This window comes from Homo sapiens, chromosome 3 (assembly GCF_000001405.40).
Source record: "Homo sapiens chromosome 3, GRCh38.p14 Primary Assembly".
In the NCBI taxonomy this organism is placed as follows: domain Eukaryota; kingdom Metazoa; phylum Chordata; class Mammalia; order Primates; family Hominidae; genus Homo; species Homo sapiens.
The window spans coordinates 62,162,152-62,183,693 of NC_000003.12; the positions used below are offsets into that span (position 1 = coordinate 62,162,152).

Below are 21,542 nucleotides of genomic sequence, written 5' to 3' on the forward strand. Positions count from 1 at the left end.
TGAATAGATTTCAGCTTGCCTTTGATTCGAACCGACAGATTAAAAACTAATTATTCTCCGTAATACTTTTATAATAAAAACTAAGTTGAAATGATTTATATACACTTCGAGCCAACACATTTGCAATTCAAGGTTAAAATTGTTCTTGAAACAGCACCAGTTAAACTGCAATTACAAATCCCCAAGCAGGGATAAAAGAAAGAAATGTTTTACACATTCACTTCAAAAGTTTAAGAGTCAATTTAATATTATAGAAATAAAAACTTTCATTTATTTTTACTAAATGATAAAGACTTCATTAGTTGTATTAAAGTCAAGATAAATCCAAGTGTGTTTATTACCCTGCTGTGGCAAAGGATCAGCCAAGAAAAGTGAGGGCTTTGGGAGGTGGACGGGATTTTCTCCTTGGGCCTGCTGTCTTGTTCATGCCTCCCAGTTCTTTCTGCGTTGGGCTATTGGCAGTTTCTATTCAGAGTGCAGAAGGATGAAGATAGATAGATGTATGTTGCTGATGCAGGGTGCCCTGTGTGGAATGGCCTTGAGGTTAGCTAAAGGGAATTGTTTCAGGACTTATACTATCACTGCATCCATTTCTCCACTGCAGTGTGGCTCTTTCAGTGGATAATGCTAAGGCCTTTTATGCCTGTGGCATGAAATAGCTGAGAGCATACAAAATAGAGTCACACAGACCTGCTATTCTAAGCCTCACTTCACCTCTTGGTTCCCGTGCCTGCATTAGTCCATTTTCACATTGCTATAAAGAACTACCTGAGACTGGGTAATTTATTAGAAAAGAGGTTTAATTGGCTCTGCAGGAGGCATGATTGGGAAGGCCTCAGGAAACTTACAATCATGGCGGACAGGAAGCAGGCATGCATTACATGGCTGGAGAAGGAAGAAGAGAGAGAAAGGGGAGGCGCTACACACTTTTAAACAACCAGATCTCGTGAGAATCCACTCACTGTCACGGGAACAGCAAGAGGGAAATTCCGTCCCCATGATCCAATCACCTCCCACCAGGCCCCTCCTCCAGCATTGAGGATTACAATTCCACCTGAGATTTGGGTGGGGACACAGATCCAAACTATATCAGTGACCTTGGGCAAGTTACTCAATGCCTCTAAGCCCAATTTCCTTACTAGTCAATAAAACTTATACTAATACTGCTATTAATAATAATATTACCACCAGCCTCATGGGATTTCTGTGGATTAAGTGAGAGAAAGCACATACCAGTCTCAGCACAATGCCTTGCATGTAATAGGCACTCAGCAAATATTGGCTGCTAGTGTTCATGATATAATAAGAGTGTTCTGTAATGCTACTTTAATGTCATTATTTAATGTCATTACTTTAAGCTAAAAAGAAGTTGGAAACCAAAATAATGTCTGTAAAGTACTTAAAGAAGTACCTGGCATGTCATAGGTTTGATAAATATAAGGGGGATAAGGAAGGGAAGGTTGATACAGCATTTTACAGTTGTTGTAAGCTTAGAGTACAATTGTAGTTACCACATTCCTCATGAAATAATAATGACAGTAGTGATAGTACTTACTGAGCACCTGCTGTGTGCCAGGAATCATTCCAAATATTTTATATATCACAACTCTTTGAATAGTTACAAAAACCACAGGAAATAGGTAATGCTGTTACCTCCATTGTACAAATAAAGACACTGAGGCACAGAAAGATTAAATAATTTGACCAAGGTCACACATTTAGCAAGTAGGGTTTAAAAACAGGATTTTGTACCCAGGTAGCAGGGGTAAGGGTTTTGAATTTGGAGAATTAGGCATAGGCCAGATCATAAGGGCCCCACCATTAAGGATGGGAGGCTGTTAAAAAGTATTGAACGGAGACATTACGTGATCTCATATATATTTTTCAAGGATCACTGTTTAGCTATTAACCAGATCTAGAAAAGCAGAACAGATTACGGACCAAACATCGGACCGGTCAAAGACCCAGAAAGACACAACTTTGTCCGTATGGTTTGTTCTGTGGCTCCAGCCTGATTTCCATATTGCACAACTCTAGGGGACACTTTCTCATGGTGGGCTTATGGCACCTTTTGGAATCAAACAAAGTGGAGGTCCAAGGCAAGAGTCAGGGTGTGGGGACAGACTGAAGTTGCTGTGTAATGATGTATCAGTAGATTTCGTCACTGCCCACTTGCCAAAGTGAGAAATGTAGACTCCTCTCACCAATCCAAGGCTCCTGGAGGTTTTTAACTCACTGGCCAAGCATGCCAGTTGCCAAAGAGACAGGCCACTGGCGATTTTCATTTAAGTTAGAAAAATGACAGGGTTTTAGTGAATGCCGCCAACCCACAGAAGGACATTTGATGAGTGTGCTAAGCTCGTCCTCCTTTCCCTCTTTTGTATGACTGTCAAGCGCAACTGTGATCCAGTTGACAATATAATATCATTCAGGTCATCAGTTCACTCCCAGAACCATCACATCCTTTCTTCAAAATCTTGGGGCAAGTTAAGTTAATAACAAGGAAGCCACCATGCTTTTAAACCGTAGCATGTCATTAAGCTGCAATAGCAATTTAAGTGAAAGCATTTTTGTGTTAAATTCACAACCTGCCTCATTTTTACAGTTATGTGACTTGTTCTTTCCTGAGGCTTCAGAAATAAACTTTTTAGGAGAATTTAATGCTGGCTCTGAAAGAAGCAAGTATTCTAGAGAATAAACAAACTGCAGAGTCGTATTGCTGAGACAGTTTTCTGAGACAGGCCATTCTTTTCTGGCATCTCAGAGATTAAACTATTTTGGGACAGATGGCTGTCTCTTCCAGAAAATTTCCGGTCTAATTCACGATGTATGGCAGCCCAGTCCATTTCTCTAAAAAGTCATCCTGAAAGTTAAGGAATGTCTCTCTCTATTAAACTCACGTCTCTATGGCTTTAATTTAAGCCAATTTCCGTTTATTTGGTCTTCTCTGGACATGGAGAAGAGCTGGTCAGCATCTTCCACATATGAGGGGCTTTATGAAATTACTCCTTACTCACCTTTTCCTCAGGCTAACCAATTCCACTTCCTTTAACCTTTCCTCACAGGATTTTTTCTCCATCTTTTTAATCATTTTGATTGGTCTTTTTCTGGGCTGTCTCCAGAGGGTCTTTGTTAATACTTCTCATATGATTTTAAGAAGTTATTTTCTCTGAGAAATCAGAAACCTGCTCTCACATTTGATGCATTCAGTTCTGACTTTGGTAGTCCTGTCAAGTGAGTTCATATCATGAGGTGGAGGTGATTTTTCAGCATCTTTAGTTGTCTTCATTTGAGTGGCTCACATTTGGACAAAGTAATCAGTCCAATTTTCCTAATTTTTCTGTCATGTCTTGCCTTTCCTTTGCTGTAAATAAAGAAGGAATAGCAGAAAGAATAGGAAGGCAGGCAGATGCTACCTAGAGACACTATGAGTTTTTATGATAGTAAAGTAACTCAGAGAATTGAAGTAACACAAGAGTAACAGGCTGCTTTGGCTTTTAGGCTGGTTGTGAATCCGTCCTGGTTCTATGTAAAAGGCAGAAAAAATTCCATGGTTTATTATCATTTTACATAAGCTGTGGAATTGGAGGGGAGGTAGAATGATAGGTGAATTCATATACTTCAATGATTTTTGCATGGCTAATATCACTACCTCAATTCATCGCTTTCTCATGCAAAGAGAGGGCAGACTGTTTGGAAGCAGGTCATTTTCTGTGTCATTCTCTGAGGCTGTTTGAGAAACAGTGGGGGTTAGTTCCAGGGTTCAGGATGACCACCTAGAATTTGCAGAAACCCAGAGAGTGATTTCCCTTTTTTATTTTCCACATTAGTATTAACTGCCTTCTGGTTCCCCGAAGCCTTGACAGTCACTCAATGCACAGAGAGCATCTTTCTAGCACCATTCGACCATTTCTCCTGCAGAAAGCACTCTTATTTGGCACCAGAGGATCCAGATGGGCCAGAAACAGTTCATTCAGCTTTTCTCTTCATTCTATTTTCTTCTCCTATTAGTATTTTTGGTGGCTGCATATTTCAAATTACAGTTCTTTTTTTTTTTTTTTTTTTTTTTTTTTTTTTTTTTTGGTGACAAGAATAACTTTGTGGCCTGTTGAGGACAAGTCTCTGTCACTCAGTTGCTGTTCCATTCCTCATATGTAATAGAATTACTTTTTTTATTTTTAAAAATTTTTTTATTATTTTTTTGAGACAGAGTCTCATTCCATCACCCAGGCTGGAGTGCAGTGGCACAATCTCGGTGCACTGCAGCCTCCGCCTCCCAGGTTCAAGCAATTCTCATGCCTCAGCCTCCCGAGTAGCTGGAATTAAGGCATGCACCATTATGCCTGGCTAATTTTTGTATTTTTAGTAGAGACAGGGTTTCACCATGTTGGCCAGGCTGGTCTCGAACTCCTGACCTCAAGTGATCCACCCACCTTGGCCTCCCAAAGCGGTGGGATTTCAGGCATGAGCCACCGGGCCTGGCCAGAATTACCTTTTTTAATGATCACAATGTTGAGGGACACAAAAAAATCCCTTTTTTGTTCTGTTCTGTTTTTGAGACAGGGTCTCACTCTGTCACCCAGACTGGAGTGCATGGTGCAATCATAGCTCATTGCAGCTTGCAACTCCCAGCCTCAAGTAACCCTCTCACCTCACCCTCCCAAGAAGCTGCGACTACAGGCATGCACCACCATGCCCGGCTGATTTGTGTATTTTTTATATAGGCAGGGTCTCGTTGTCTGGGCTACTCTCCAACTCCTGGGTTCAAGCGATCTTCCACCTCAGCCTCCCAAAGTGCTGGAATTATAGGCTTGAGTCACCGCACCTGGCCCAAAGAATCCCTTTTGATAATAGAAATATGATTTGGGCACCCTGATTTTTTTCCTTTACTTTCCATAAAAGTTAGATCGGCAGTCCTGTAAGAGATGTTTCTTAATAATATTAATAATAATGATGATAGCTAACCTTAATTGAGGACTTAACTGTGTGCTAAGCAATTTACATAAATTTTAATACTTCTGACAACTTTATAAGGTAAGTATTATTACGTGTTTTACAGTTGTGGATACTTGAGTTACAGAAAACTTGAACAGTTCATCTCCGATTACCCATCTGGTAAATGTTGAACTTAGGCAGTTTGACTTGCAAGTCACACATTTAGTGACTTGGCGACTTTGCCAAACTTGATCACTAGTATGTCGGAAGATGCCAAGAATTAAATCCCTAATATTTATGAAGCTCTTATGATATACTAGGAACTGTTTTAAGCACTGTACTTGGTTTAAATATTTTGTCAGCACTTAAAATTGACAAAAATCCTTTTGGGTAAATATTGTTATGATTATCACCATTTTATTGAGGAAAAATGGTGGCTCAGGTTAAGCAGCTTGTTCAGGTCACAGAGTGGGTAGGCGATGGAGTTAGTATTCATACCCAGGCAGTCTGGCTCCGGGACATAACAGTTTGACCGTGACCCTATGTTTCTTGCTAGAATGGTAAAGGCTTTTCCAGCAGGGCACTGCAGAAAGACTGGGACTCTCTCATGGGAGGCACAAACTCAGAGTGCGGTATAGCCCTCAAATGAAGTGTTTTGCTGGTTAGTTGGCAGGACAGAAACCACAGCCAGATGAGCCTGTTGGCAGTGTTTCCAGCAGGCAGCCTCAGGTCCTGCTGGGTTTAGCAGCCCTGGCATTGGGCACTTCCTACCGTTTCATGCTCTTATCACCTTCACCTGCTTTGGACCAAATAGCTTTTCTAATTGATGTGTGTTTTTTGTGTTGTTTTTTTTTTCCCCCTCCCCTCTCTGGTCCTCTGTTCAGCTTGAGGCTTTTTATTCCATCTTCACCACGGAGCAGCAAGACCATGTCAAGTCGGTGGAGTATCTGAGAAATAACTTTCGACCACAGCAGCGTCTGCATGACAGGGTGGTGTCCAAGTCCGCCGTCCGTGACTCCTGGAACCACGACATGACAGACTTCTTAGAAAACCCACTGGGGACAGAAGCCTCTAAAGGTATATTTGGCTTAAGTGCCTTGCCCAGAGGAAGATTCCTTATCATAAATTACTTTAAATTAAAAGGAATTCAAAGCCAGCCAGGAATTGGGACTTGGTGTTAAATGCATATGTTTCTCTGCTAAAGGGAGCCTGTCTGGCTGAAAAATAGGAGCAGGTGTGGGAATATATTCTGTTAAATAGGTATGATAGAAATTGCCCTTTTGACCAATAATAGATAATTCTGTCTGCATTTCTGCCTTGTAACTTCAAAACTTACTAGCAGTGTCTAGAGAAAGCTTTCTGAAAAGTGTCTTACTTTTTATGTGTTTCCCTGTTGATCAGGAGCTTATCTCTGAGCTCAGACATCAGTGAAACGGGAGAGTTCCCTGACCCCACTCCCCGCTTTGAAGGACATGCAACAGGAATGTGGCTCATCTGTTCAGTCACCATTCGCTGCTCAGACACATAAGGTCTAGGGGAGCACATAAGGGAGGGGGAGCACACAGATGGGCAGGTGCAGGAGCCAGGGTGAGCTCCTTGGGGCTCTGGCACTAGGGTTATGTGTCTGTGACTCCTGAAGCCCAAGTGGGCATGTGTTACAGTGGGCTCTTTCAGCCTTGCCGTCTGTGGACAGCTTAAGTGTTAACCAGCTCAGTGACCTCTTGGTACCCAGGTCCTTGTCTGGCGTCCAGGAACAATCAGGTCGCCCATGGACTTGAAGGATGAATGTGGGGGTTTTATTGAGTGGCGGAGTTGGCTCTCAGCAGGATGTATAGGGAGCTGGAAGGGGTATCAAGTGAGAAGATGATGGAGTTCGGCCATTCGGTGGGCAGTCTCCTCTCTGATTGTCCCTTGACATTCAGATGCTCCTTCTCTTCTCCCTGCCACGCCATTCTGCTGTTCTTCTGCTCTTCTATTCTATCCCTCTCGTCTGCTTCTGGAGCCTGGGGTCTGGGGTTTATATGGGTACAGGATAGCGGGATATGGCGGGCCAAAAGGCAACTTTTGGTCATGAAAACAGGAATGTCTGTTTTCACTTAGGGCCCAAGGGTCTCCAAATTTGAGGGTGGGGCCTTTGCCCGGGAACTGCCCGCTTCTAGCCAGTATTTCCCTGTCTCCTGTCCATATCATCAGGACCTTTGAATTGCTCCCAACACCCCAGTATATAGCAGTCTTACTACCATCCACCCCCGGCAAGAACTCCCATACCAGCCTCACCCCTACTGGAAATCACTTGCTTATTATTTTTTTAACCTATTATTTAACAGTTTAACCCCGGTATCTGATAAACATAAGTTTATCATTTTCAGGCATCTCAGTCTTTTTCCATCTCTACTTGCTCATGTGAAATGAATATGAATCTCTCTCCCAGGAAACTAGAACTTCTGGTTCTACCCTCACACCTCTCCTCTCAGGCTCTGGGATTTATCAGAATTGGGTCACAGAGCTCCGGAAATGCTGAGGGGAGCAAGGCTGATCAAAGCCCTATTACTTGGAAGGGAGGAAGGAAAAAGAAGGAATTTTCTTTTGGTGCGAAAAGGGATATTTCCCAACCCAGTGCTATCCTTCTTCAAAATTATGAGCTTGGGTAATAAAGGGAGAGCTTGTGTCATTTATCAACACTGGAGGTAGAGTGGGCTACTGTTAGTGTGGTACGTTACGTGGAGAGGTTTTCTTTCAAGAGTGCCCCCACCCCCAACAAAAGGGAACAGTTTATTGGCATATGGACTTTGTAGGAACAGGGGGAATGGGATTCTATTCCACAAGTAACTGCAGTGACATGCACTTTGATGATATGAAAGAGCCCATTTTCTAGGCTCATGTTTCTGAAAAGGAGCTAAAAGAAGAGGAGAGGGAGTTTAAGAATGTGATCATTTCCTTCCTGTCTGTGTGATTTTGTTTGAGGTTAGTGAGGAGAAGTGAGTCAGGCACCAGGTTCCCTCAAGAAATGCTTGAGATTCAAGTAATTTGGGGACAATAGATTGTCAAGGGCATCATTCTCTGGGAACAATGGGAGAATTAAGAAGCTCACAAACCTGTGAAATATCTTAGGTTGGGCTGCCGTGGAAAACCTCACATGAACTAATTTTTTTTTTAACCTAGTTAAAAAAAAATGAAGAAAATAACCCAACTAGAAAGCTTTCTCCCAAGAGAAGTTGACTGAGAAAATCAGGTCTCCTGGGGATTTTGTGAGAGTTATATGCAGAGGATGTGGATTGGGGGGGTGAGGAATTCCTATCACAAGTGAGTGCAAGATCTGATAGCTCAGAATTGCTGAGATGGTGACAGATACAAAGCTCTTTCCTGAAAAAATGGGCCAAGCATATGATATATCAGCTGTACAGAGAAAATGCATGGCCTTTATTATCCAAGAAAGCTAGGGAGGATAATGGTTTCTATTGTGTTAAATTGTCAAAGTAGGCACGATCTTCCACTGAACGGGCCTTCTCTGAATTTGACCACAACCACAGAACCATCCTTAAATACGGCAAATTCATGTGTCATTCTACTAGGTTTGTTTGAATTATCATAGTGCTCGTTGCTGACTCTTTAAGACATGGGAATATTAAAATGTTTTCTGATATTTTTAGAGCCAAAGAGAGAGCAGGATCTAGATGCAGTCCTATTTGTGTGTTTAACTTATTATTGGAGAGCTACACGTACATAAAAGTGCAGTACCCGTAATACGTGCACAGCTTGATGAATTTTCACAACCTGAGCACACCTGAGTAACAAGCACCTAGATCAAGAAACTCCCGTCTAGGATCTCAGGACTCCCCCATCATCCCCCTTCCTAATCACTCTGTGTTCCCAAGGGTAACCACTTCCAGAAATTCACTTAGCCTGTTTAATAAATTGCATAAAGTTAGAATCATTCAGTATGTCCTCTTTTGTGTCTTGCTTCTTTTGCTCTACAGTGATTTTAAGCATCCTCTCTGTTGTGGCCTGTAGTTGTAGTTTGTTCTTCTGTATTGCTAAAGCCCATTGTGTGATTATACCTGAATATATTTATCCATTTCAGTATACATGCATATGTAGATTATTTTCAAGTCTGGGTGATTACGAAAACTCTTGAACCTGCCTTTTAATGAATATGTGGATATATCTCTATTGGGCATACACCCAGGAGTAAAATGGCAGCATCCTAGAGTACACATATTTTCAGGTTTGGTTAGAGACTGCCAAATGGCTTCCCAAAGTGACTGTATGTGCCACTTTACACTTTTGCCAGCAGTTTAGGAAATTTTCCTATTTTTACAGCATTTTTTTAAAGGCATAATTTACATACCATAATATACAGCTATGGTAAATGTATAATTTGATAATTTTAGCAAATTTATACTTGCGCAGCCATCACTGCAGTCCAGTTTTAGAATATTTTCATCGCCACAGAAAGTTCCTTCCTGCCCATTTGCAGTCAGTTATTTCTCCTGCCCTCAACCCCAGGCAACCTCAGGTCTGGTTTTGTCTTTCACTTGGTGTTAATGATTTTAACATTTACCCATGTTTGGCATGTATCAGTAGGTCATTTTTTTTTTATTGCTGAATAGTGTCCCTATTTTTTTTTAATAACAGCTTTATTGAGATTTAATTCACATACCATGAAATTCATTCTTTTAACGTGTACACATCAGTGTTTTTTACTGTAGTCACAAAGTCATGCACCCATTGCCACCATTTATTTCTGGAACATTTTCATCACCCCAAAAAGAAACTCCATCTGTAGCAATCACTCCCATTCTCCTTCCCTTCGTCTGCCCTGTATGTCCCTCCCTCCCTTCCTCCAGGGCTAGGCAACCACTAACGTACCTTTTGTCTCTATGAATTTGTCTATTCTGCACATTTTATGCAAGTGGATCATATATGACTTTTTTGACTTAGCATAATACTTTCAAAGTTCATCTGTATTGGGGGCTGTGTATCAGAATTTAATTATATTTTGTGGCCAAGTAATATACCACATAATATGTGGAGGTGCCATGTTTTGTTTATCCATTTATCAGTTAATGGACATTGAGTTTTTTCCACCTGTTGGCTGTTATGAATAATGCTTTTGTGAGCATCCATGTCCAAGTTTTTGTGTAAATATACATTTTCAAGTCTTTTAGATGTAAACCTAGGAATAGCATTGCTGGGTCATATGGTAACTTTCTGTTTACAGTTTTGAGGAACTATCAAACTATTTTCCAAAGTGGTGGCATCAGTTTACATTCCCATCAACAGTGTATGAGGGTTTCAATTTCTCCATATCCTCACCAACACTTGTTATTGTGCATCTCTTTTATTTTCACCAACCTAGTGAATATGAGGTTGCATCAGTTTATAGTTCTGATTTCCATCTCCTTAATGACTGATGATCTCCCTGTTTGTTTTTAAATGCACATGTCATGGAACCACAGCCCACATGACCAAATGTTCCTCCTTTTTTTTCCCTACGAAGACTCAGGTAACTCAGCGCCACTATAGGCCAAAAGATGCTGACACATCATCAAACAGCCTGGAGGGCTTAGATTATTGACCTTAGAGATGTAAGCAGGAAAGAGCCAAAGCATGGAACAAGTCCTTTTCCTTCCTCTACTCTTCTGCGAAAAAAAGTTTTAAAAAGAGAATGAGTGGTATTCTGTAATCTTCAGGTAATTCAAAACGAGCAAAGCCTGCCTGATTGGTATTCTCTATCTGATAATTATTGGAAGCTTTCAATGCCCAGGAAAGCTATGATGTTTTATGCATTCATCGGGCTGTTGTCACAGAAGAAGGAAAAATAAATTAATTACATAAGGCAGGAGTCATTTAACTTTTTTGGTTAAGGGCCAGATAGTAAATGTTTTTGGCTTTGTTGGCCATATGGTCTCTGTTGAATCCTGGGTACTTGTGGGACATTGGTTCCAGGACCCCTACGGACACCAGTATCCTTGGATGCTCAAGTCCCTTATATAAAATGGTGTTGTATTTGCACATAACCTGAACACATCCTCCAGTATACTTTAAAATATTTCTAGAGTACTTATAATATTAATACAATGTAAATGCCATGTAAATAGTTGTTATACTCTACTGATTTTTGTTTGTACTGTTTTTTATTGTTATATTGCTATTTTTTATTGTTTTTTTTTCCTTCCAAATATTTTTGGTCTGTGGTTGGTTGAATCCATGCATGCAGAACCCATGGATATAAGTGCCGACTGTACTCAATTCTACCAGTATAGCAGGAAGGCACCTGCAGATGATATGTAAATGAGCATAGAAAATGTCTTGCGGTAAAGTTTTATTTCCAAAAAAAGATGGCAGACCAGAGTTGGCCTTGGGACTGTAGTTTACTGACCCCCACTCTATGGAGTAGCTTAAACTGAGTTGGAGAACCCTAAATGGGGAAATCATAGGCTTGTTGTAAGATACATATTTTCTGTCTTCAAGGTGGTAATGGCCATGACTGTGAATGTGTTGGATCTGTGTTTCCATTCCACTGAAAGACCCTAGGACCAACCAGAGATTCATTAACTTGGTAACCACCCACTTACACTTCACTTTAACACCCGGTCATCTTTCACATCAGAGGGGTAACCAGAGCCTCAGTTGACTGAATATAGCTCCCCGCCTCCTCTGTTCCCTGGTTATGATCGTGAACTTGAGGCAGCCAGTGGTGGGGGCCTGTGTTCATGCACCCATATTTTATCAGGATGATTGGACGTCCTGGAATAGAGAATACAGAATCCAGCCTTTCGGTGCCAAGCACAAGAGGCAGGGCCCCTTAAGAAAGAAGTGGGGGAAAAGTCATCTTAATATTGTATTGTTGCTGAAGAAAGACTTCTATATGGATGTCATCCATAAAAAATAATAAAGCTCTAGTTGCAGTAAATGGAAACAATATTTAGGCTTATTGGATTGTTCAAGGGACATCCGATTTGCCACTCTGCCCTTTGTCGGCAAATAACTTAGACAGACTTTAGGATTTAATGGGCTGTCATTTCAGTTATTCTGCAGCATATCCCGGGTACATGGGAGAGCATTCAGTGATTAAGTGCTGAATACTGTCTATTGTGAAGACTTTTGGAACAGGGAACAGAGAAAAATAACTTTCCTTCCAACAACATGAAACATATGGTTTATTAATTTAACCAAACCTGTTCAAACCGCAGTGGAATCAAAACCACTTGATCTGATAATTTGATTTGATGGCTTAATTAAAATGACACTGTATAATGTAATAAAAGCAAAGGAAATGGAGAGGACACCGGGCTGCCTGCATACCCTCTAGGCTCCTAAGCCGATGTCGTGTTTTTTTGGTGAGTGTTTTTTGCCTCTGCTGATGGAGGGATCTCTTTTTTAGCTATGTTTTCAATTCTAAACATTGCTTCCTGTTTTGGTTAAAAGCACTTTTAAAGGACATGTACCACCGTGCAAGGATGCCTGAGTAAGTAGCCTATTTAAAATCAGTACATTGAGAAAGAGGGTCACATTTTCTATCCAAATTAGCAAACAAAGAAGTAAATCCATGACTGGTTTAAAAAAGAGTTTGACATTGAAATCATGGTTTTCTGCTATTTTGGGAGAAAATATTAATGTTGTTCTATTTTCAGTTTAATCATTTCTACTCACCAGATTAATGAGCTTGAATTACTTATCTTATTAAAAGAAGCTCTGATATGAACACTTAATGCCTTTGCAGGCAGCTGCCCTCCTAGAAACTCTTGCAGAAAGTTACCTTGTTACTGCCAGAAACTTTTAGCATAGGAAAGTATTAAGAAAAACAAACTTTTCATGCAGCCCCCATGGAGAGTTTTTAACCCCCTTCTTTCAAAAATAACTTTGATTTGTCATTCTTTTTTTAACCTGGAGTGTTTAAGAAAGAAGACAAAAAAAACAGGTCTGTTTCAAGACCCTTGGAACATCCTAGGCTCTCATACTTCTGAAGGTCCTGCCATATTATATCCAACATTTTTAAATGCTCAGACATTTCATGATTACTCTAAGTTTATGTAAATATATGAGTTGGTGTTAAGTTGCATTTGATAGGTTGACATAATGTTGATATTTTATAGACTTTTAATGTAGCATTAAATATTTTGTATCAATTGTTGTAGCTAGTAAATTTCTTTTCATATGTCAGACATTTTTTCTAGCTTTGAAAAGCTTATTGACTCTAGGAGTGGTGCCTGAAACACCTGTGGTCAGAAAGGCTAGCAAGAGAGCCGAGTGCCGTGGCACGCGCCAGTAGTCCCAGCTTCTTGGGAGGTAGAGGTGAGCAGTTCGCTTGAGCCCAGGAGTTTGAGGCCATCCTGGGCAACATAGTAAGCCTACGTCTCTTAAAAAGAAAAGAAAAAGAAAGTCTGGGAAGAGGTTTTTGTGTGCCAGATGCTGTGCTATTGTTTCCTATTCATAGTTGTTTTATTTAATCCTCAAAACAACCTCTGCCAGGATTTGCTTTTCATTCATTAAATATTTATTGACCATCTACTATAAAAAAGTTCTAGGTACTAGAAATAAAGTTGAACAAGGGATGGTCCCTCATCATGGAGTTTACATTCTAGAAAGGAGAAATAAATAAACAAGTCCACTGATGATGGGCTTCAATGTTGTCCCAAAGGGAATCAAATCAAGTCGTGTGCTAAGAGCGGTAGAGTGTGGTGAGGTGGTGGGGAGGAGCCCTTCTAGGGATAAGGCAAGTGAGGACAGGGAGCCAGCCCCACAGAGATCTGGAGAAGAAGGTCATTTGCAAGGGCCCTGAGGCATGGGATCCAACCTAGAGCGAGGTAAACAAAGGGGGAAGCAAGATCAGAGAGAAGAGCTGGAGAAGCAGGCAAGAGCAACTCTGGCAAAGACTTCTCTTGGTAAAGAGTTAAGACTGTTAGGAGTTAAGATCTTCTAGCAGTGGGAAGCCTCTGGAGGGTTTTAAAGAGGACTCTGGAATAATCACAACGTCTATAAACTTATTGTTCTGGCTGTTATGTGGCGAATGCTTGCAGAGGACTTGCACTGGAGTCTGCAGGACCCTGCAAGAGGCTGATGGAAATATCGCAGGTTGGATGAGGATGATCATAGTAAAAGTATAAGTGATCATTAGGGGTGGACTTTGGAGGAGAGCTTTGGAGATTTACTAACAGTTTGGATGGAGGGGTGGGTAGGGTGAGCAAAGTGAGAAATGGAGTATTATTGTTTCTCTTTAACAAGTGAGGTGTCTAACGTTCAGAGAGGGTAAGTGAATCATCCAAAGCCTCTCAGCCAGGAAGTGGTAGAGCTCAGACGTGAACCAAGATCCTCTTATGTCCAAACGCAATATTTCCATCATCCAAGGGACCGCCATCTTCCACAAGAACTTGCAAGTGGTGCCTCTGTGTTTTGGATGTCATCGGGTGACTTGAACAACACAGTTTAGTACTCCTTCCCTGAATGAAGGAGCTTTAAAAGGAAACATACTTGTGGGAATGAGGTGCTCTTACCTTCCTAAAAGTCATCACTGGGCTCAGTCTTTATCTGCTTGGCTTTTATCTATTTTGTCAGGTTATCTTGGGTGCTCAGGGCATAGGGTATTGGTCACAGGGTTAGTCCTGAGAGTCCTGCACCCACTTGATCTGTACCGTGGGGCCATTTAGGCAGAAGATCTTGTGCATCCTTGGATGAGGAGGGCCTAACACAGTACCTGGTACATAGTAGGTGCACAGTCATTGCTAAGTGAACGAATGAATAAATAATAAGACAGGATAAGGCAGTGTTAGAATACAGACTTGGGATTCAAGCATACCTAGACTGAAATCCTAGGAACGATTCACTCCTTTGTGACCTTGCTCAAGCTAATATCTAAGCTTCTATTTCCTTGCCTCTAAAATAGAGATAATAAGGCAGAGCCCAGTGGCTCACGCTTGTAATCCCAACACTTTGGGAGGCCAAGGTGGGAGGATCACTTGAGACCAGCAGTTCCTGACCAGCTTGGGCAACAGTGAGACCCCATCTCCACCAAGAAAAGAAAAAAAAATTTATCTTTTTTTTAACATTAGCTGGGCTTGGTAGCACACACCTGTAGTCCCTAAGCTACTCAAGAGGCTAAGGCAGAAAGATCACTTGAGCCCAGGGGGTTGAGGCTGTAGTGAGCCATGGTCATGCCCACTGCACTCCAGCCTGGGTGACACAGTGAGACCCTGTCTCAAAACATAATAGTAATAAAATAGAGATAATAATCATACACTCTCTTCCTCAGCCAGTGGCCTTTCAAATAAGACTTATAGTACAGGATCTTGGATATGGAAATTACTCTGCAAATAATTGTATCTTCTTATCTGTAGGTCAGCAATAGCTTCTTTGTATGCCCAGGACAACCTGTTATATGTGACATGATCATTGGAGAACGTATTTCAGAATAAGGGTGCCATGCCCTCTTCCTGTTAGAAGTGTGAAGCCAGGCTGTTCGAACTTGTCAAAACCTTTCTGATGAAATGTATAATCCTTAAGGTGGTCCACACATCAAGTCCTGTCCCCCTCTCCAGCCCCGTCTTGTACTTTCCTTCCCTTGGCATCCTACACTTCAGTCCAGCAGCCATTCTGCAGTCCCAGCAGGCTGTTCCCTCTACCTGGAAGGCCCTTGTCCCACCTCTGTACCTAACTGACCCCTCCTCAGCCTTCATAACTCAGCGCAAGGGTCCCTTCCCCAAGGAAGTTTCCTGACTGCCTTGACCCAGCCACTTGTTTCAGGGCACCAGTACCTTTCCCTTATAGTACTTACCAAAGTTGAATTTTTACATCTGATTATGCGATATGTGATTTTTCCCCCTAATATCCAGCTCTCCCACTACCCCATAAGTTCTGTGAGGGGTGAGACTTTTCCTTTTCTCTGTTTTTATTGGAGAGAGGGTGCTATGGTAACTGTTGACTCCTCAGTAAATACTGGATTGGATGGGTTGTTGGGTGGGTGGGTGGGTGGATGGATGGATGGATGAAAATGTGAATCCATGGATGGATAAGAGGATGGATGGATGTGTGGATCCACAAATGGATGGGAGGATGGATGGATGGATGGATGGATGGATGGATGGATGGATGGATGGATGCACATGTGGATCCATGGATGGATGGGAGGATGGATGGATGCATGGATAAATGCATGGATCCATGGATGTATGGGAGGATGGAGGGATGGATGGGAGGATGGAGGGATGCATGGATGGATTAAGCTAACATATACATATCAGGTGGCCAGGAATAAAAAATTCTTACCAAAAGAGTTTGCACAATTGGGACATGTATGATGTAGCCCAGGCTGGGTGCTCCTACTGGGGAGCATTGCCAGGCATCTGAAGTAGGATGTCATGCCAGTACTACTTCCTGAAATCAGAGAGGCTCCTGGGATTGGGGAAGCCACCTTTTACTCTGACCAAAAGCCACCTTGGATGGAAGCGTACATTTCAACAAAACATGGAGCGAGGGCTTTTCTGTCTGCCTCAAGGAACAGCCTAAAAGCAGAGAATGGAGTCACTTAAAGTGTCAGGCACTCGTGTCAGGATGCTCTCAGGCAGAATCGGCTGTTATGGCTTGGGAGCGTTTGAGCTGATACTGGTAGCAGACTCCAGGGGCCATCTAGTGTTTTCACACTTTACCTAATTACTTAATCCTCTCCATCTCTAGGCAGGTAGACAGAGTTTGATCTTCAAGGCCAACTTAGCAACCCTACTCTGGCTTTCTTTGCTCACTAGAAAAATCTTCTCTGACATTGGGTTTACTTGTGTGGGCACCATGGTGCTTGTGAACAGCAATCTGGAAATTAATAAAGGCCAACAGCTTCCTTACTCCCAGAGCAGCACACTTCCCCTTTTTCACTAACTAGCATTCACAGCCTATGAAACATGAGGCTGCGAGACATTGGTGTGCCTCTCATTGGAGCCATAGGAGGTATCTAGCTGGGAGACATCTTCCCCATTCATCCCACTCATTATTCCTCAAACAAACACGGGTTGGTTGAAGCTGTTTTTCTTCAGGTATCTGTCCAGGAATATGGACAGAACCCTTCTTTCCTAGGGCATAAGAAACAGTCTCATCTCCCTGCCCCTGAAGCCTGAAAATCAAAGAACAACTGTTAAGACCCAGAAGAGGGAGCCCCATGTGGTGTCCTCTTGAGTCAGGCTTTTCTTATTCCTTCTCAGCACAGCCAGTGGTTGTTACGGTTGCTGGCTTCACTCCTGGGCAACTCTCTTGACTGGTTTTGTGATTCCTAAGCACTGGCTGGGACCGAAATAAGTATCTTGGCTGTCACATTTCAAATCTCTGCCTGTGCTGAGAAGGCGCTGCCTGTATGTCTGAGACTAAATGCTGTCAGGTATTATCAGGTGCACAGAGCTATGCAATTCTTTGCTTCCGGGCTGGCACCAGGAAAGGCTTGCCAGAAGAGAAGAGCCTTCTCGCTGAGGAGTGTGCTGACTGTTGAAAACTTGGTTTTCACCCACCAGCTGCTCTTCAGAGCGTATGGACCTATTTGCCAGGGGCAGCCAAGAGACTCAAGTGGCTCAGTCCCTGCCATGTGCTGAATTGATGATTCCACTTGGGCCCACTCTCGGGCAGTGCCTGCCCATAGCCTGGTCTCTCCATCAACTGACAGTCTCCCTGTTTCCTTCTTGGGTCCCTTTGACCAAGTCTTGACCTGAGGGCAGTACCAGGTGTGGGAGGCCCTGAAACCATACCAGATAGGGCCATCCTTACCAAATGATCAGTTGGTTCAGACGCCACATCTGGGGATTGAAATGAGGTTGGAACCCAAACATTGGAGTTCATCCTACCACTCCACCCACACTCAGCCAGAGCAGAGAACAAGTAGGAGTAGCAAGTGGCCAGGAAGTAGCAGAGATGCAGAGTTAACAGGTAAATGCCATGCGTGAGCCAGGACACTACTTTTAAGCATAGTAGGTACCAAGCCGAGCAGACTACCTGTTTCCAAGAGAAATTATTTTAAGGCTCAGATGGAAAACAAATGAGGGCACCTTAACCATTTGCATCATAATAATCTAGACTCAAGTATTTCTATAAAATCCCAGCTAAAGCCATCTGTGTGGGTCACTGGTTGATTTCCTGACGTGGCTGTTGGGATCACTAATAAAAACAGCTCATGGGATCTTAGATCTTGGATGGTGTTTGGATACCAGTCTTGTGTTGCTAAGGGCAGCTTTAGAGCTCTATTTTAGGTGACCCGCTGTTTCTTCATAGTAAAGGGGACTACAACATTGTCTCAGCAGTGGGAAGCAGGAGAAAAACATCGTTATGAAAGAAGGACACTGGGCATTTACCCACCCTAGCTCCGCAGCCAGGTCTGTGGTTCAGACACTCAGTTGGAGCCCTTCACTAGGGCAAGACATGGGGAGAAGGTGGAAGGTCAGAAGCACCACGAGGGAAGGATGCTGTGCTCAATTAAAGTGGGATAGGTCCGCTTTGCTCTCTTAGCAGGAAATCACAGCATCATAAAGTTGAAAGGGAGAGAATGTACCCCAGGGTACATGGAATCCAGCCTTCCACCCAGCGTCCAAGATGCACGCAGCTGTTATCAAGTGAGGCTGGGAAGATGCATCATCCTGAACTTTGTCACCTCCCTTAGCGCTGAGCTGAACAATGCTCTTTCCTGCACAGGACATGGACACCTCCCATGGCCTTTAGCTCTCAGAGGAAGAGGGATATCATGTAGAAAAAAGAATCCAAGGAGGTAAGAGAGGTCAGGGAGAGCATAATGTGGGAAGTCGAAACCAGTGCTTGAACTGGAGAATTGAATTTCTGCCTCTGCTTTCCCAGATACTGCCTATTTCTGTTTTCTGAGCATGTAGCTCTGTTACATGCACAGCAGAGACAGCCAACAGGATAAGAAACAGTTTTCAAATTTGCTTTCTTCCATGGTAATTGCAACACAGAGCATCTAATACTCATTTGTTTGCTGAGAAACTGAATTGTAATTCAGGGCTTGTTCATGGAAAGGGAGATGTCATTGTACTGTGTAGAAGAAAAGTCCGCAGGTAACAGGTGGCATCAGTGAAGACACCATGGATTTAAAACTTGAAAGCAGTTGTCCTAGCACTTAGGAGAATCTGGGGGCAACTCCGCACCAGGGTCCCACATCGGAAGAAGGTGGCGGGCTAGCCAGCAAATTCTGGCCTCGGCAGCCAGATCCACCCCGGGATAAACCCCAGCTCCAGTGCTTCCTAGCTTTGAGACCTAATCTTGGGCCACTCTCCTCCTCATTCCCTGCTCACAGTCACACTAGTTTCCTTCCCAGTTTTCTCATCACAGGGCCTTTGTACACACTTTTTTTTTCTGTCTGACATACCCAAGCCTCCTTTTTTCCTCTTTCCTCTATAAACACCTACTCATTGTTGAGATTTCAGTTCAAACTATGCTCAGTAAGTTTTCTAAGCAACTCCCCAAGTTTAGGTCAGGGTTCCTTATTAAACCTTTATACAGAACTACTATAACATTTTCCTTAAAAAGCGTGTAATTATATATGCCTTAGTGCTAGATGGGTTTAACCATTTTGGTGCCATGGACTCCTTTAGCTTATCTTCTCATATTGATGGTTTTAGATGCTTAAAATAAAATATAATAGATTACAGAGGAAGCCAGTTATCCTCAGATATTTTCGAAATATCTTTAAAATTGTACTAACTTACCTGCTTCTTGATGAGGGCATTAAATTACAAGATCCAGCTGCAGATCTAAAAATCATTATAATGTTGATATAATGATGAACATGAAGGAAATTTTGAAATGCAACTGAGTCCTGAACACCATGGAGATTGGAGTGTCCACACAATCAAATATCCAGTATAAATTTTGACTCTCCAAAAAGTTAATACTTAAGCCTTACCAGTAACATACACAGTCAATTAACACATATTTTGTATGTAATATGTATTATATGCTATATTCTCACAATAAAGTACTCTAGAGGAAAGAAAATGTTATTTTGAATATTATAAGGAAGAGAAAATGTATTTACTGTTCATTAAATGGGAGTGGATCATCACAAGGGTCTTCATCCTTGTCATTTTCTTGTTGAGTAGGCTGAGGAGGAGAAAGAAGAGGAGGAGTTCGTTGCCCTGTCTCAGGGGTGGAAATTCACTTATAAATTGACCCATGCAGTTCGAACCTGTGTTGTTCAAGGGTCACCTGTATTGGTAATCACTGTAATCTAACAGGAATAGCTTTGTGATATCTTTTGGTGATTATCACACAAGTCTCGTAACACTACTGTAGTTTGTTGCCAACATTTAAAATGTAAGGAAATGCTACATTTTTGTTAGAGATTAGTGAACATAAAAGTGGACTTTTTTGCTATCTAAGTTCACAAACTTCTGTGAATTCTATGCAGATCTCCTAAGGACACTCAAAACCTCTGTTTTACGGAGATTCTGTTGTTGATGTGTGTTCTCCCACTGGGCTGTCATCTCCAGGGGGTCAGGAGCATGACAACATGTGTTCACCTTTATCCATAGTTCCTGGTCAAGGGCCTGACATATGGCCGGTGCCGAATAAATAGTTAACAGTAACTAATTCTTTGTTTGTTTGTTTGTTTGAGATGGAGTCTCGCTCTGTCGCCAGGCTGGAGTGCAGTGGTGCGATCTCAGCTCACTGCAACCTCCGTCTTCCAGGTTCAAGCAATTCTGCCTCAGTCTCCCGAGTAGCTGGGATTACAGGCACCTGCCACCATGCCCAGCTAATTTTTGTATATTTAGTAGAGACGGGGTTTCACCATGTTGGCCAGGATGGTCTCGATCTCTTGACCTCGTGATCCACCCGCCTCAGCCTCCCAAAGTGCTGGGATTACAGGCATGAGCCACTACGCCCGGCTAACAGTAACTATTTCTAAAGTACGTTTGCTATATGTCAGTCCACGTGCATTTGTGCATTTCATGCATTTATCCCAGAAGCTTTTACCCAAGCTTTATCCAAGGCCACACAACTGGTTTGTCTAAAACCAAAGCAGTCTGACCCTAGAGTAAGCAAGTGAATGAATGACCCTCTTAGATCTAGGTCTCTAAAACAAGGGTAATGATAGAGCCAGCAGCCCCACAGAATTCCCGTGAGGATTTGATGACATAAGCTGTGAAATGTTCTAACAGCCCAGAGCTGGGCTCATCAGATAGGACTCGTTACTATTAATATGTCAGTACAGAGTAGGCCGGGCGCGGGGCTCATGCCTGTAATCTCAACACTTTGAGAGGCCGAAGTGGGTGGATCACTTGAGGTCAGGAGTTCGAGACCAGCCTGGCCAGCATGGCGAAACTCTGTCTCTACTAAAGATACCAAAATTGGCCAGGTGTGGTGGTGGGTACCTGTAATCTCAGCTACTTGGGAGGCTGAGGCATGAGAATTGCTTGAATCCAGGAGGCAGAGGTTGCAGTGAGCCAAGATTACACCACTGCACTCCAGCCTAGGCGACAGAGTGAGACTCGTCTCAATTAAAAAAAAAAAAAAAAAAGAATGGCACAGAATGAAGGCCTTGGTGGGTGGGCACTATAGCAGCAATCTGTATATTTCCAGCATCCTGTCACTCCTTGAAGGACCATGAGCTCCCTATGCGTTTCTGA

The 21,542-nt window shown here is 42.5% G+C and overlaps 1 protein-coding gene across 7 annotated transcripts in view, besides 2 other annotated features; it reads left to right on the forward strand.

Annotated features, from left to right (window-relative positions):
* PTPRG (protein tyrosine phosphatase receptor type G) overlaps window positions 1-21,542 on the forward strand; it is a 736,039-nt gene that overhangs the window by 600,581 nt on the left and 113,916 nt on the right. For all 7 annotated transcript variants that reach the window (XM_017006961.2, XM_017006963.2, NM_002841.4 and 4 more), the window contains one exon: window positions 5,820-6,012. In XM_017006961.2, coding sequence (XP_016862450.1) covers window positions 5,820-6,012 — 193 coding nt within the window. The remainder of the gene's footprint in view (window positions 1-5,819; window positions 6,013-21,542) is intronic.
* Window positions 7,679-8,219: an enhancer, noted in NCBI's record as "NANOG hESC enhancer chr3:62155504-62156044 (GRCh37/hg19 assembly coordinates)". NCBI's record gives its function as "activates a minimal SCP1, AML or CMV promoter by ChIP-STARR-seq in naive and primed H9 embryonic stem cells {active_cell/tissue: H9 hESC(naive and primed)}" and the evidence as "EXISTENCE:reporter gene assay evidence [ECO:0000049][PMID:30033119]".
* Window positions 11,891-12,060: an enhancer, noted in NCBI's record as "experimental_70816 CRE fragment used in MPRA reporter constructs". NCBI's record gives its function as "activates a minimal promoter by MPRAs in K562 erythroleukemia cells, with activity observed for both the introgressed and non-introgressed 3:62159801 variant alleles {active_cell/tissue: K562}" and the evidence as "EXISTENCE:reporter gene assay evidence [ECO:0000049][PMID:34662402]".